At 39.4% G+C, this 16195-nt stretch overlaps 1 protein-coding gene across 2 annotated transcripts in view, besides 1 other annotated feature; it reads left to right on the forward strand.

The window, feature by feature from the left end:
• Window positions 1-16195, forward strand: part of GABRG3 (gamma-aminobutyric acid type A receptor subunit gamma3) — a 570804-nt gene that overhangs the window by 207963 nt on the left and 346646 nt on the right. The gene's annotated exons all lie outside the window — the stretch shown is intronic.
• Window positions 13971-14472: an enhancer, noted in NCBI's record as "H3K4me1 hESC enhancer chr15:27438261-27438762 (GRCh37/hg19 assembly coordinates)". NCBI's record gives its function as "activates a minimal SCP1, AML or CMV promoter by ChIP-STARR-seq in primed H9 embryonic stem cells {active_cell/tissue: H9 hESC(primed)}" and the evidence as "EXISTENCE:reporter gene assay evidence [ECO:0000049][PMID:30033119]".

The following is a 16195-nucleotide window of genomic DNA, read 5'->3' on the forward strand; positions in this document are numbered from 1 at the left end:
CTTACAAGTCAGAAATTATGAAAATCCTCTTCAGAAATTCTAATCAATGCCTGTATCAGAAATATTGCTTACTCCTATCATCAATGCATTGCCGTGATTTGCCATTTCAAACATGCCCCGCGTGGCAATCCACCTTCCCCTCAGGAGCAGCTGTAACAATTTCCCACATGTGGCCAATGCACTTTATCATATGTGTCCGTGAGAATAGCACATTAGCCACATTCAAAATAAGGTACGTTGTGCTTTTTCCATTTTTGTTGATAATGATGCCCTCAGTTTTGTAATTGCTTATTTACCTTGTTTGCATAAAATCTTCCCCTGATTTTTGTGATACAATTTCGCTGGCTTTATGCTTGGTCTGGCTCTGAGAAATTTATCATTTTCCCCATTGGTAGAGTATGAAAACTTTAAGCAAGAACTACCCAAGTGAGCAGTTTCCAGTTTCAAATTGTTCAGAATTCACTCATTTCCAGACTACAAAGATGCACAGAACCCTCGAGTCCTGTTGTCCTGCCGGGGGTCCATTCATCTTGTATCTTCAGAAGTTTTGTTTGATTCTCTATTTGTTGCCATCTGTTCTGTGTCTTTTCATGGTGTGAATTTTGAATGCTGTGGGAAAGATGGAAGCCAAAGATGCACCGGGTCTTTGGAAAAGAAAACTATAATGATTAAAGGGAGGAGAGCTGCGTAGAAGAGAGACAGTGGGGTCCTCTTAGGCCTTGTGTGCATAAAATAAGCTGAATGTTTGTGCCCTGTTACCAGATTGTTCTCTTGATTCACAGTTCATCGCCTCCTAGATGAGGCTGGGCGTGGCTCTGAAGAGCTGCAGCACTTCTCTCTGGCGGTACATTTTGCACACTCATGGTTACATGGAAGTGGCTAAATGGCCTTCTGCAGAGCCACTGCCTGATCGAACATCTCTGTGAGTCTTGGCCTTCCCCAGGAGACTGTGGGGCTCGTTGCACTTGTTTTACCAATCACAGAGCTCACAAAGAAGTTGTCCAGGCCCGGGGGGTGAGATACATAAATTGAGCCTGCCCATAATGAACACACACTTTTTCTGAAGGACCTTAGCACGGTCTAAATAAAGTTTGTAAACCACTGATGTAGAAGAGGGAGTAGATGTACATTCTGGTCACAATAGCAACTAGAGTAAACGGGCAAATGGCTTGAGTGAAAGGAAAAAAAAATGAGATTGAACAAGAAGAGCAACTGTAGAATTCTTCAGGTTATGACTGCCATGTGCTTTGAGGCAGTGCATTTGCATCCTGAGGTCACGTTGTGCATCCATTGTCACACTCGGGACTCTCTGCCTACCCTATGCTTGCACTAGATTCATCACGAAGCACCGACTGCTGCGCTTCCCTCAACAAACCCTGCTCCACGTATACCCTCAGGTTCAACTCATCGCTCTAACCATGTCATCCTGATTCACTCAACTTTACCCCAACTCAGATTCTGTTTCTAAGGTGAACTTACACATTGTGCCATGTGTGTGTCTGTCTGTGTGTGTTTGTGTGTGCACGCGCGCGCACCCCAGGTCAGTTCTAGCAATAATTGAAAAACAGAAACCTATTTTCTTTAATTATTTTACTAATTTCTACTTGATACCTCCTGGCCCTAAATCCACTGACTAATGCTCTTATCCACTCACATTTTGTCACTATCAGCATATATACCCCATGTAGCCACTGAAAAGGTCTATCTTATGTCTACTTAAGGCTGGAGGCTTGGACTAACCAATCTAACACAGGATTATCGTTCCAGTTTAGTATTTTAGGGTTGAAAACCCCTCTCGCTTTGGGTGTTACGTTCAGCTGCTGAATTGTGCTGACTTCTTAGGAGGGCCGTAGTTCACAACTTCATGAGATGGCACAGGGCAGTAAAGGCCTAAAGGGTTGAAGGGCTGACCTTGAATAAATAAATATGTGTCCATGAAACCTCTGTGGCTCCCAGCATGCAGGGCTGGAGGCATTGAATGCAGGCACCTGTGGGGAGGAGCAGTTTGTGGCAAGCAGACTTTACACGGGGAAGGACCAATGCTAGCTGCCCACGAGCACAGGCAGTAGGGTAATTGTCTGCAGAGGATCTAGAATCAATACTCCCCAGGCTGTCTCTCATCAAACCCCAAAGTCCTTCATTCTAGAGATTTGCCACCAGGGAGAGAAAAACAAGAGTTAGTTCTCTTACCCATGCACACCTTTATTTGGTAGAGGCTCAACCAAGACTCTTGTTTTGGGGGAAGATTTGTATGAGATTTCTATCCTAATACAAATGGCTGCGGATGCTGCAGATGGGGAAGGCTGTAATACAGACTTGTGGCTGCACAGAGCCACCATACTTAGGGCATCAGGCTGATGTTAGGGCCTGGAAAACAGGTTTGAAGATTTCTGTCTGAATGAATTTCTCCCTCTATTTGTTCTATGCTATATGCAAAGCCATCTGACTCTACTCGTACATCCTGCCCACGTCTTTGTGGAAGCAGTTGTTTCTCTTTCTGTTATATATCTATGGCAAATACTTATTCCTCCACTTAATATACACACTTTAAGTGGCTGCTGCATGTAAGCATTCCTGTGAGTGATGGTAGGAAAACAGCAGTGGACAAAAGATCCCAACGCTCAGAAGTGAGGAGTTCTGGTCATTTTCAGATTATAAGGTCATAGCTAAGATGTTTCTGGGCTTTTTTTATTCCTGTCAAACTCTACCAGATACTTAGCAATCTTTCTCATCCAGTTCTGTACACGAGAAATCATTGTGAATTCTTCAAACTACCAAACACCACTGTAACATAGCATTTCTACTATAATATAATTTCTACTATGATATGCTATATAATATATAATATAATAATATTATAATAATATAATATGAATGTAACTGAAAACAAAATGCAACCCCATTGAGTGTTAGTAGTAAGTAGAAAGCCACAAAGTTGATTGTAGACACAGATGTTAGAGTGATGTGCTGGAGCCAGTACAAATGCAGATTCCAAGACATCAATTTCACATCAGCTCTGGGGATAGTCCCTGGTGGAAGTCACCGTCTACAGTTTCTGCAGCTGACCTTTAGGCCACATGTTCTATGCTGAAATGCAGGCAGGTGCCTGGGAAGCAGGGGTGGCTGGGACCTATGTAATTCACTCTTACTCACTCGTCGTGTTAGGTTGTTATTCGAATGTGTACGGTATTTATTCAAAATTACAGGTGATAAAATGCCATGGACCTAAGAAATTACTCTCAAATACTAAAGACTTTGGCAGCTACATCCATGGATTGTACAGGTTTGGCTGGGCTGTATGATTTTTGTAAATGATGTTTAAAAGCATGTAGCAGGAAATCAAGCTGACTGTGTTTGAATGTGAACCCGCCATGTGAAAGCAGTGACTTTAGAATTGGACACCCCTGGGCTTCCGCTCCTGGTCTATAAAATGGAGGTAATGATTCTCTGTGCCCAGTGTGGTCCTGAGAGTTGAATGAGATGACGGGAGGGGGTGCTTAGCTGAGAGGCTGGTGCACAGAAAAGCACTCCCCACAGGGCCGCCAAGCAAAGAGATTTGTGCTGGAGTCAAGTGCTCCATTGGATGTGCTGTGCGCTCGCTGAATTTGCAACTGCTGGGAATTGAAAGGGCTTCTGCTCGGGGCCAGGCTGTGTGGAGGCTCAATGACCTAATGAACAGGATGTCCATTTGGCCGAGATGAGCTGCTGCTGGTGCAGGCCGCTAATGGGAAACCAGTGTTTACGGGAAACCTGCAAAATCATCCTTTGATAGCTGAGGATGTCGTCTGAGGGTGAGATCAAGCCAAATAGAGCGAAAACAATAGCAAGAACATAAAACTTCTGCTTTTACGAATCATTTTTAGCTTTTAGTGAAGCTGATCAATTCGTTTTAGCGAGAAGAGCCTTAGGTGGTTGTTTTCTTTAAATCCTTAATGTCTAATTTGTGAAATATTATTTTACAGATGACTTTTTTTTTCAATTTTTTTTTCCCTATGAACAGGCAGCGAAATAATCAGCCAGAGGTTAGTGTGTGACAAACATGCTTTATTTTCTTTCTAATATGTATCTGATCATGTTGTTGTGTATCTGAATACAATATAAAAAAGCTATCTTACTCTCCCTAGGCCACAGAACAACTGGAAAGGAGAAAATAAAACAAAACAAAGCATTAGGCTTGGCTTTGCAGCTTATGTTTAGCTCCTGGCCATGAGCTGATGGCAGCGAAAAGGGAGGGAAGGAGTGATGGAGTAGCCTGCCTGAGGTTGCACAGCTGCGTCGGGAGCTGATTGAAAGCCAGGCAGCGTGGATCCAGACTCCATGATTTCATCCACCACACTGCACATTTAATTAACAAAAGTATTATTGTGAAGGGGGTGAAGAGGTGATTGAAATAGCACTGGACCTTAAAAAACTGTTGAAGGCTGTTTGCCTATTGAAGCATGCATTATATTCTTCTTCGAATTATTTTAAAAAACAAACATTGGAGTTTCAGAAGTAATGCACAAGCATACATTTCCAATTAAAAATAAGTATAAAGAGCAGAGAGTTGTATTATGCAAGAGGAATTTTTCCCTCTGTTACTCATCCACATAATCTTGTTCCGTTCCTTTCAGGCAAGCTCTGTTAACAATTTTAAGCGTATTAATCAGACAAATTTAATATATATTTAATCTATGTGTTTTAAATGCATATGTTTGCACATAGTACTCTAGGATGTTCTCTGAGGGATTTTCCTATGCATGGTTATTCATCACCTCACATTTATTCATCACTAACTCTGTGCCAGGCACTTTCCCTCTACCATTCTGAGTAATTAACTCTTACCTGGGGTAACAAAAGACATTAACAAGAGAAAAACAAACAGGAGTTTATTAACGTGTATTTCATATACACATGGGAGATAGCCAGGGAGCAAGTCATTCTCACTGAGGTGGCTTAGAACTCCAACTTATATAACATCTTCACAATGAACAATAAAGTTTTAGCGAAGTGACAAGACAAAGATAAAGGACCTTGAATTTTTAGGGAAGGCAAATTATGGGAAGGAAAAACAAATGGGAAACTAATGATAGATCAAGGATAGGAAGGTTTGTCATGCAGGTGCCTCTGCTGCTGTCTCCAGGCTGAGAAGGATATCAAGTTGTTTTCAGTGGCTACCCTTTCCTCTCCCTGACAGAAAGGGTAACTGGGACATTTGTGAACATTTACATCCTGTTTTCAGGCAAAAAGGGAGAGGGCAGAGAGTTTTTCCTGTATCTGGATTCTTCTCGATTGCCTTCAGCTCAAAGTAATCTTTATGCCAAAACAGCACATTTTGGGGTGGCATATTCTCATCTTCTACACTGGCAACTGAAAATATAGATATAGTTATTGGTCTCATGAAGCTTATGCTCTGGTGGAGGAGGCAGAATTTTTACTTTAAAGGAAGCACCAAACACAAATAATGGAAGAAATTGTATAAAATTGTTGTTGTTAATAAATCTTGAAATGTTTGGTAGAGTTCTCCAGTGAAACCATCTGAGTTCAAACACTTATTTTAAGGAAGCTTTTAAATTATGGATCCAATTTATTTAATGGTTATGGGACCATACAGGTTGTGTTTAATGTAGTTTGAATTTTGGCAGTTTGTGGATTTTGAAGAACTGGTCCACTTCTTTTTAACTGGCAAATTTCTGAGTGTAATATTCTATATGGTCACCACCATTATCCTTTTAATGGCTGCGAGAGGTGTAGCAAGATCCTGTGGTTCACTCCTGATATTTGGCAATTTGCGTCTTATTTTTTTTTCCTTTGTCATTCTTGTTAGATGTTTATTGTTTGCATTGATTTGAAGAACCAGCATTTTGTTTCCTTGATTTTTCCTCTATTGTTTTCTATTTTCAGTTTCATTAATTTTTGTTCTTATTTTCATTATTTCCTTCCTTTTGCTGACTTTAGGTTTATTTTGCTCTTCTTTTTCATGTTGCTTGACATAATAATTTAAATTATTGATTTGAGACCTTCTTTCCTAATATAAGCCTTTACAGCTGTGAATTTCTCTCTCAACAATGCTTTAGCTGCATCCCACATATTTTGATATGTTAAATATTCACTTTCATTCAGTTCTGTGTACTTTTAAAATTTTTCCTTTGACATATGTTCTTCACCCATAGATTATTTTGAAGTATGTCATTTAATTTTCATGTGTTTGGATATTTCCCTTTTGTCTTTCTCTTCTTTATTTCTCTTTTGACTCGTTATGGTCAAAGAACATACTTCCTTCATGTGTTTTCAGTTACTTTAAAATTCTTGAGATTTATTTTATGTTGCAGGATATGGTATATCTTGGTAAATATTTTACACATGTTGGGAGAAAATGTGGATTCCAATGTTATTGGGTAGAGTTTTCGGTATATGTCAATTAGGTTCCATTGGTGGATTGAGTAGGTCAGATTAATGTTCCTGATAATTTTCTGTCTAATGGTTCTGTCAGTTGCTTAAGTAAGGTTTTGATGTTCTCAATGATAGCTATAAATTTGTATCTTTCTTCTTCAGGCCTATTAGTTTTTGCTTCATGTATTTTGATGCTTTTGTTTGGTACATACATATTTGAGATTGTTATGTCTTCCTAGTGGAATAATCTTTTTATCATTATTTAATGTCCATTTGTGTCACTAGTAATTTTTTTCTCTGATGTCTACTTCATGAAATACTAATATAGACACTACTGCTTTTTCTTAAAATTAATTTTATATATTTTTTCATACTTTTACTTTCAACCTACTTACACTGTGAAGATTCTATGCTGTTGAATTTGATGTGAATTTCTTATAAACAATATGCAGTTGCATCAAGGTTTTTAAAATCTGTCTTTTAAATGTTGTATTTAAATCTTTTTTTTTTTTTTTTTCAAATTTTATTGTAGAATCGGGATACATATGCAGGTTGGTAACAAAGGTATATTGTGTGATGCTGGGTTGGAGTATGAATCAATCTGTCACCCAGGTAGTGAGCACAGTACCCAATAGACAGCTTTTCAGATCTTGGCCTGCTCCCTCTTTCCTCGAGTAGTCCCCAGGGTCTATTGACCCCATCTTTATGTCCATGCGTCCTCTTACTTATATGTAAGAACATGTGGTATTTGGTTTTCTGTTTCTGCCTTAGGTCACTTAGGATAATGGCCTCCAGCTGCATCCATGTTGTTCAAGGGACATGACTTCATTATTTTTTATGGTTGCATAGTATTATATGGTATATATGTACCACATTTTCTTTATCCAATCTAGGTGTTGATGGATATGTAAGTTGACTCCCTGTCATTGCTATCATGAATAGTGCTGTGATAAACATGTGGGTGCATCGTATGTCTTTTTGGTAGAATGATTTAGTTTCCTTTGGGTATATATCCAGTAATGGGATTGCTGGGTATAATGGTAGTTCTGCTGTTTTTAGTCCTTTGAGAAATCTCTAAACTGCCCTTCACAGTGGCTGAACTAACATTTTCACCAACAATATTCCCTTTTCTCTGCAGCCTTGCCAACATCTCTTATTTTCTGACGTTTTAACAAAAGCCATTCTGATTGTTCTGAGATAGTATCTCATTGTGGTTTTGATTTGCACTTCTTTGATTACAAGTGATGTTGGGCATTTTTTCACGTTTGGTGTCTTCTTTTACAAAGTGTTCTTAATCTTTGCCCATTTTTCAATGGGGTTATTTGTTTTTTGCTTGTTGATTTCCCATTCCATAGGTTGTCTGTTTACTCCCTTGATAGTTTCTCTTGCTGTGCAGAAGGTCTTTAATTAGGTTTCACTTGTCAATTTTATTTTGTTGTTGCAATTGCTTTTGAGGACTAAGCCATTCAATTCTTTGCCACAACTGATATTGAGAAGGGCATTTCCTAGGTTTTCCTCTGGGATTTTTATAGTTTGAGGTCTTACATTTAAGTCTTTAATCCATCTTGAGTTGATTTTTATATATGGTGATAAATAGGGGTCTAGTTTCAATCTGCTGCATGTGGCTGGCAGACCAGTTATCCCAGCATTATTTATTGAATAGAGAGTCCTTTTTCCATTGCTTTTTATTGTTGGCTTTGTCGAAGATTAAATGGTTGTAGGTGAGGAGCTTTATTTCTGGTTCTGTATTCTGTTCTATGGGTCTATGAGTCTGTTTTCATACCAGTACCATGCATTTTGGTTACTGTAGCCTTGTAGTATAGTTTAAAGTTGGGTAATGTGATTTTTGCTTAGGATTGCTTTGGCTATTCAGGCCCTTTTTTGATTCCATATGAATTTTAGAATTATTTATCTAATTCTGTGAAGAAAATGGCATTGGTAGTTTGATAGGAATAGTGTTGAATATGTAAATCACTTTGAGCAGTATGGCCATTTTAATGATACTGACTTTTCCAATCCATGAGCATGGGATGTTTGTCCATTTGTTTGCATCATCTTTGATTTCTTTCATCAACGTTTTGTTGTTCTCCTTGTAGAGCTCTATTACTTCCCTAGTTAGCTATATTCCTGGATATTTTATTCTTTTTGTAGCTATTGTAAATGGGATTGTGTTATTGATTTGGCTCTCAGCTTCAATGTTAATTTTTTTTATTTTATTTTATTATTATACTTTTAAGTTTTAGGGTACATGTGCACAATGTGCAGGTTAGTTACATATGTATACATGTGACATGCTGGTGTGCTGCACCCACTAACTCGTCATCTAGCATTAGGTATATCTCCCAATGCTATCCTTCCCCCCTCCCCCCACCCCACAACAGTCCCCAGAGTGTGATGTTCCCCTTCCTGTGTCCATGTGTTCTCATTGTTCAATTCCCACCTATGAGCGAGAATATGCGGTGTTTGGTTTTTTGTTCTTGCGACAGTTTACTGAGAATGATGATTTCCAATTTCATCCATGTCCCTACAAAGGACCTGAACTCATCATTTTTTATGGCTGCATAGTATTCCATGGTGTATATGTGCCACATTTTCTTAATCCAGTCTATCATTGTTGGACATTTGGGTTGGTTCCAAGTCTTTGCTTTTGTGAATAGTGCTGCAAGAAACATACGTGTGCATGTGTCTTTATAGCAGCATGATTTATAGTCCTTTGAGTATATACCCAGTAATGGGATGGCTGGGTCAAATGGTATTTCTAGTTCTAGATCCCTGAGGAATTGCCACACTGACTTCCACAATGGTTGAACTAGTTTACAGTCCCACCAACAGTGTAAAATGTTCCTATTTCTCCACATACTCTCCAGCACCTGTTGTTTCCTGACTTTTTCATGATTGCCATTCTAACTGGTGTGAGATGATATCTCATTGTGGTTTTGATTTGCATTTCTCTGATGGCCAGTGATGATGAGCATTTTTTCATGTGTTTTTTGGCTGCATAAATGTCTTCTTTTGAGAAGTGTCTGTTCATGTCCTTTGCCCACTTTTTGATGGGGTTGTTTGTTTTTTTCTTGTAAATTTGTTTGAGTTCATTGTAGATTCTGGATATTAGCCCTTTGTCAGATGAGTAGGTTGTGAAAATTTTCTCCCATTTTGTGGGTTGCCTGTTCACTCTGATGGTAGTTTCTTTTGCTGTGCAGAAGCTCTTTAGTTTCATTAGATCCCATTTGTCAATTTTGGCTTTTGTTGCCATTGCTTTTGGTGTTTTACACATGAAGTCCTTGCCCATGCCTATGTCCTGAATGGTAAAGCCTAGGTTTTCTTCTAGGGTTTTTATGGTTTTAGGTCTAACGTTTAAGTCTTTAATCCATCTTGAATTGATTTTTGTATAAGGTGTAAGGAAGGGATCCAGTTTCAGCTTTCTACATATGGCTAGCCAGTTTTCCCAGCACCATTTATTGAATAGGGAATCCTTTCCCCATTGCTTGTTTTTCTCAGGTTTGTCAAAGATCAGATAGTTGTAGATATATGGCGTTGTTTCTGAGGGCTCTGTTCTGTTCCATTGATCTATATCTCTGTTTTGGTACCAGTACCATGCTGTTTTGGTTACTGTAGCCTTGTAGTATAGTTTGAAGTCAGGTAGCATGATGCCTCCAGCTTTGTTCTTTTGGCTTAGGATTGACTTGGCGATGCGGGCTCTTTTTTGGTTCCATATGAACTTTAAAGTAGTTTTTTCCAATTCTGTGAAGAAAGTCATTGGCAGCTTGATGGGGATGGCATTGAATCTATAAATTACCTTGGGCAGTATGGCCATTTTCACGATATTGATTCTTCCTACCCATGAGCATGGAATGTTCTTCCATTTCTTTGTATCCTCTTTTATTTCATTGAGCAGTGGTTTATAGTTTTCCTTGAAGAGGTCCTTCACGTCCCTTGTAAGGTGGATTCCTAGGTATTTTATTCTCTTTGAAGCAATTGTGAATGGGAGTTCACTCATGATTTGGCTCTCTGTTTGTCTGTTATTGGTGTATAAGAATGCTTGTGATTTTTGTACATTGATTTTGTATCCTGAGACTTTGCTGAAGTTGCTTATCAGGTTAAGGAGATTTTGGGCTGAGACAGTGGGGTTTTCTAGATATACAGTCATGTCGTCTGCAAACAGGGACAATTTGACTTCCTCTTTTCCTAATTGAATACGCTTTATTTCCTTCTGCCTAATTGCCGTGGCCAGAAGTTCCAACACTATGTTGAATAGGAGTGGTGAGACAGGGCATCCCTGTCTTGTGCCAGTTTTCAAAGGGAATGCTTCCAGTTTTTGCCCATTCAGTATGATATTGGCTGTGGGTTTGTCATAGATAGCTCTTATTATTTTGAGATACGTCCCATCAATACCTAATTTATTGAGAGTTTTTAGCATGAAGTGTTGTTGAATTTTATCAAAGGCCTTTTCTGCATCTATTGAGATAATTATGTGGTTTTTGTCTTTGGTTCTGTTTATATGCTGGATTACATTTATAGATTTGTGTATATTGAACCAGCCTTGCATCCCAGGGATGAAGCCCACTTGATCATGGTGGATAAGCTTTTTGATGTGCTGCTGGATTCGGTTTGCCAGTGTTTTATTGAGGATTTTTGCATCAATGTTCATCAAGGATACTGGTCTAAAATTCTCTTTTTTGGTTGTGTCTCTGCTGGGCTTTGGTATCAGGATGATGCTGGCTTCATCAAATGAGTTAGGGAGGATTCCCTCTTTTTCTGTTGATTGGAATAGTTTCAGAAGGAATGGCACCAGTTCCTCCTTGTACCTCTGGTAGAATTCGGCTGTGAATCCATCTGGTCCTGGACTCTTTTTGGTTGGTAAGCTATTGATTATTGCCACAATTTCAGCTCCTGTTATTGGTCTATTCAGAGATTCAACTTTTTCCTGGTTTAGTCTTGGGAGAGTGTATGTGTTGAGGAATTTATCCATTTCTTCTCGATTTTCTGGTTTATTTGCGTAGAGGTGTTTGTAGTATTCTCTGATGGTAGTTTGTATTTCTGTGGGATCAGTGGTGATATCCCCTTTATCATTTTTTATTGCATCTATTTTATTCTTCTCTCTTTTTTTCTTTATTAGTCTTGCTAGCGGTCTATCAATTTTGTTGATCCTTTCAAAAAACCAGCTCCCGGATTCATTAATTTTTTGAAGGGTTTTTTGTGTCTCTATTTCCTTCAGTTCTGCTCTGATTTTAGTTATTTCTTGCCTTCTGCTAGCTTTTGAATGTGTTTGCTCTTGCTTTTCTAGTTCTTTTAATTGTGATGTTAGGGTGTCAATTTTGGATCTTTCCTGCTTTCTCTCGTGGGCATTTAGTGCTGTAAATTTCCCTCTACACACTGCTTTGAATGTGTCCCAGAGATTCTGATATGTCGTGCTTGTTCTCGTTGGTTTCAAAGAACATCTTTATTTCTGCCTTCATTTCGTTATGTACCCAGTAGTCATTTCAGGAGCAGGTTGTTCAGTTTCCATGTAGTTGAGCAGTTTTGAGTGAATTTCTTAATCCTGAGTTCTAGTTTGATTGCACTGTGGTCTGAGAGATAGTTTTGTTATAATTTCTGTTCTTTTACATTTGCTGAGGAGAGCTTTACTTCCAAGTATGTGGTCAATTTTGGAATAGGTGTGTGGTGCTGAAAAAAATGTATATTCTGTTGATTTGGGGTGGAGAGTTCTGTAGATGTCTATTAGGTCAGCTTGGTGCAGAGCTGAGTTGAATTCCTGGGTATCCTTGTTGACTTTCTGTCTCATTGATCTGTCTAATGTTGACAGTGGGGTGTTAAAGTCTCCCATTATTACTGCGTGGGAGTCTAAGTCTCTTTGTAGGTCACTCAGGACTTGCTTTATGAATCTGGGTGCTCCTGTATTGGGTGCATATATATTTAGGATAGTTAGCTCTTCTTGTTGAATTGATCCCTTTACCATTATGTAATGGCCTTCTTTGTCTCTTTTGATCTTTGTTAGTTTAAAGTCTGTTTTATCAGACTAAGATTGCAACCCCTGCCTTTTTTTGTTTTCCATTTGCTTGGTAGATCTTCCTCCATCCTTTTATTTTGAGCCTATGTGTGTCTCTGCATGTGAGATGGGTTTCCTGAATACAACACACTGATGATGGGTCTTGACTCTTTATCCAGTTTGCCAGTCTGTGTCTTTTAATTGGAGCATTTAGTCCATTTACGTTTAAAGTTAATATTGTTATGTATGAATTTGAACCTGTCATTATGATGTTAGCTGGTTATCTTGCTCGCTAGTTGATGCAGTTTCTTCCTAGTCTCGATGGTCTTTACATTTTGGCATGATTTTGCAGTGGCTGGTACCGGTTTTTCCTTTCTATGTTTAGTGCTTCCTTCAGGAGCTCTTTTAGGGCAGGCCTGGTGGTGACAAAATCTCTCAGCATTTGCTTGTCTGTAAAGTATTTTATTTCTCCTTCACTTATGAAGCTTAGTTTGGCTGGATATGAAATTCTGGGTTGAAAATTCTTTTCTTTAAGAATGTTGAATATTGGCCCCCACTCTCTTCTGGCTTGTAGAGTTTCTGCCGAGAGATCCGCTTTAGTCTGATGGGCTTCCCTTTGAGGGTAACCCGACCTTTCTCTCTGGCTGCCCTTAACATTTTTTCCTTCATTTCAACTTTGGTGAATCTGACAATTGTGTGTCTTGGAGTTGCTCTTCTCAAGGAGTATCTTTGTGGCGTTCTCTGTATTTCCTGAATCTGAACGTTGGCCTGCCTTGCTAGATTGGGGAAGTTCTCCTGGATAATATTCTGCAGAGTGTTTTCCAACTTGGTTCCATTCTCCCTGTCACTTTCAGGTACACCAATCAGACGTAGATTTGGTCTTTTCACATAGTCCCGTATTTCTTGGAGGCTTTGTTCGTTTCTTTTTATTCTTTTTTCTCTAAACTTCCCTTCTCGCTTCATTTCATTCATTTCATCTTCCATCGCTGATACCCTTTCTTCCAGTTGATCGCATTGGCTCCTGAGGCTTCTGCATTCTTCACGTAGTTCTTGAGCCTTGGTTTTCAGCTCCATCAGCTCCTTTAAGCAATTCTCTGTATTGGTTATTCTAGTTATACATTCGTCTAAATTGTTTTCAAAGTTTTTAATTTCTTTGCCTTTGGTTTGAATTTCCTCCTGTAGCTCATAGTTTGATCATCTGAAGCCTCCTTCTCTCAACTCGTCATTCTCCGTCCAGCTTTGTTCCATTGCTGGTGAGGAACTGTGATCCTTTGGAGGAGGAGAGGTGCTCTGCTTTTTAGAGTTTCCAGGTTTTCTGCTCTGTTTTTTCCCCATCTTTGTGGTTTTATCTGCTTTTGGTCTTTGATGATGGTGATGTACAGATGGGTTTTTGGTGTGGATGTCCTTTCTGTTTGTTAGTTTTCCTTCTAACAGACAGGACCCTCAGCTGCAGGTCTGTTGGAGTTTGCTAGAGGTCCACTCCAGACCCTGTTTGCCTGGGTATCAGCAGCGGTGTCTGCAGAACAGTGGTTTTTCGTGAACCGCGAATGCTGCTGTCTGATCGTTCCTCTGGAAGTTTTGTCTCAGAGGAGTATCCGGCCGTGTGAGGTGTCAGTCTGCCCCTACTGGGGGGTGCCTCCCAGTTAGGCTGCTCAGGGGTCAGGGGTCAGGGACCCACATGAGGAGGCAGTCTGCCCGTTCTCAGATCTCCAGCTGCGTGCTGGGAGAACCACTGCTCTCTTCAAAGCTGTCAGACAGGGACATTTAAGTCTGCAGAGGTTACTGCTGTCTTTTTGTTTGTCTGTGCCCTGCCCCCAGAGGTGAAGCCTACAGAGGCAGGCAGGCCTCCTTGAGCTGTGGTGGGCTCCACCCAGTTCTAGCTTCCCGGCTGCTTTGTTTACCTAAGCAAGCCTGGGCAATGGCGGGCGCCCCTCCCCCAGCCTCACTGCCGCCTTGCAGTTTGATCTCAGACTGCTGTGCTAGCAATCAGCGAGACTCCGTGGGCGTAGGACCCTCCGAGCCAGGTGCAGGATATAATCTCCTGGTGCGCCGTTTTTTAAGCCCTTGGGAAAAGTGCAGTATTCGGGTGGGAGTAACCCGATTTTCCAGGTGCTGTCTGTCACCCCTTTCTTTGACTAGGAAAGGGAACTCCCTGACCCCTTGCACTTCCCGAGTGAGGCAATGCCTCTCCCTGCTTCGGCTTGTGCACGGTGCGCTGCACCCACTGACCTGCGCCCACTGTCTGGCACTCCCTAGTGAGATGAACCCGGTACCTCAGATGGAAATGCAGAAATCACCCGTTTTCTGCGTCGCTCACGCTGGGAGCTGTAGACTGGAGCTGTTCCTATTCGGCCATCTTGGCTCCTCCCCCGCTTCGATGTTAATTTAAGCTGTTTACATTTAAGGTAGTTATTAATATATTAGGAGATACTTGCATTCTAGTTGCCATTATAATGTTTGTTTTCTCTGTCTCTCATTCCTGTTTCTTTTTACTTGTTTTCACATGGATTACTTGAATAGTTTTTAGAATTTAATCTTAACTTATTTATAATGTCTTTCAATATTTTGTTTTGTATGATTTTCTTCATGGTTACTGTAAGAATAAATACATACATAATTAAATTATAACAGTCTCAATGTTTTACCACATTAAGTAATGTGTAGAAACTTTACTTTCATTTAGTTCCCTAGTTTCTCCTTGCCTTTTGAATATAATTATCTTAGGTATTTCCTGTATATACGTTGAGCACAACATCAGATGGTGTTATGATTCAACCATCAAATGCTGTTTTAGAAACTCATGTAAAGATGGATTGTCAATTATATTTTTATCCTTACTCTTACATATTTCCATACTCTTCTTTCTTTTGTGAAGTTCCAAACCTTCCTTTATTGTCATGTCCTTTCAGTTTAGAGAACTTCCTTTAGCAACTCCTTAAGGGATATTTCCTAGGCACAAATTTGCTTGATAGTTCTTTGGCTGAGAGTGTTTTTATTTGTCCTTTATTTCTAGAGGTATTTCTACTAAATGTAGAATTCATAGTTGACAGCTCTTTACTTTCAGCACTTGAAATATATTGTCCAATTTCCTTCTAGCATTCATGGTTTTAGATGAGAAGTGTGTTATCATTTGCATTTTTTAAACCTATATGCAATGTGTTATTTCTCTCTGGCTGCTTTTAAGATTTTTTACCTTATTTTTCATGATGATATTTCTGAGTATGGATTTTGTTGGGTTTATTTTACTCGAGGTTTGCTTAGCCTCTTGAATATGTAGGCTTATATCTTTCTCCAAGTTTCAGAAGTTTTCAGCCATTATTTCTTGCAATACTTCCAATAGTGTTTCAATCCTCTCTCTCTCTTCTCCTTCCAAAATTCTGACAGTATAAAAGTTAACTCTTTTGAAATTGTCGTACTAGTTCCCTGAGAATGTTTGTTTGTTTATTATTTATTTTACAATCTACTTTGTCTTTGTGGTTTAGATTAGGTAAAATAATTTTAATCTGTCCTCAATTCTATACAGTCTGTTTTGTGGCATCCTCACTATTAAGCTCATCCAGTGAGTTTTTAAAAATTGTGTTTTCATTTAGTTATTTTCTGAGCTTTTTCATTTAGGAATTTCTTTCAGGAATTTCTTTCAAGAGAATGAATAACTGCTTGTTGAAGCATTTTTATGACAACTGCTTTAAAATCCTTGTCCGACAATTTCAGCATCTGTATCATCTTGATGTTGGCATCTGTCAATCTTCTTTTCCATGCATCTTGTGACTTTCTGGTTCTGGGCATGATGAGTAATTTGTTTTCTCTTTCTCTCCCTCTCTTTCTTTCTTTCTCTCT

Source organism: Homo sapiens, chromosome 15 (genome assembly GCF_000001405.40).
Source record: "Homo sapiens chromosome 15, GRCh38.p14 Primary Assembly".
NCBI classification, from domain to species: Eukaryota; Metazoa; Chordata; class Mammalia; order Primates; family Hominidae; genus Homo; species Homo sapiens.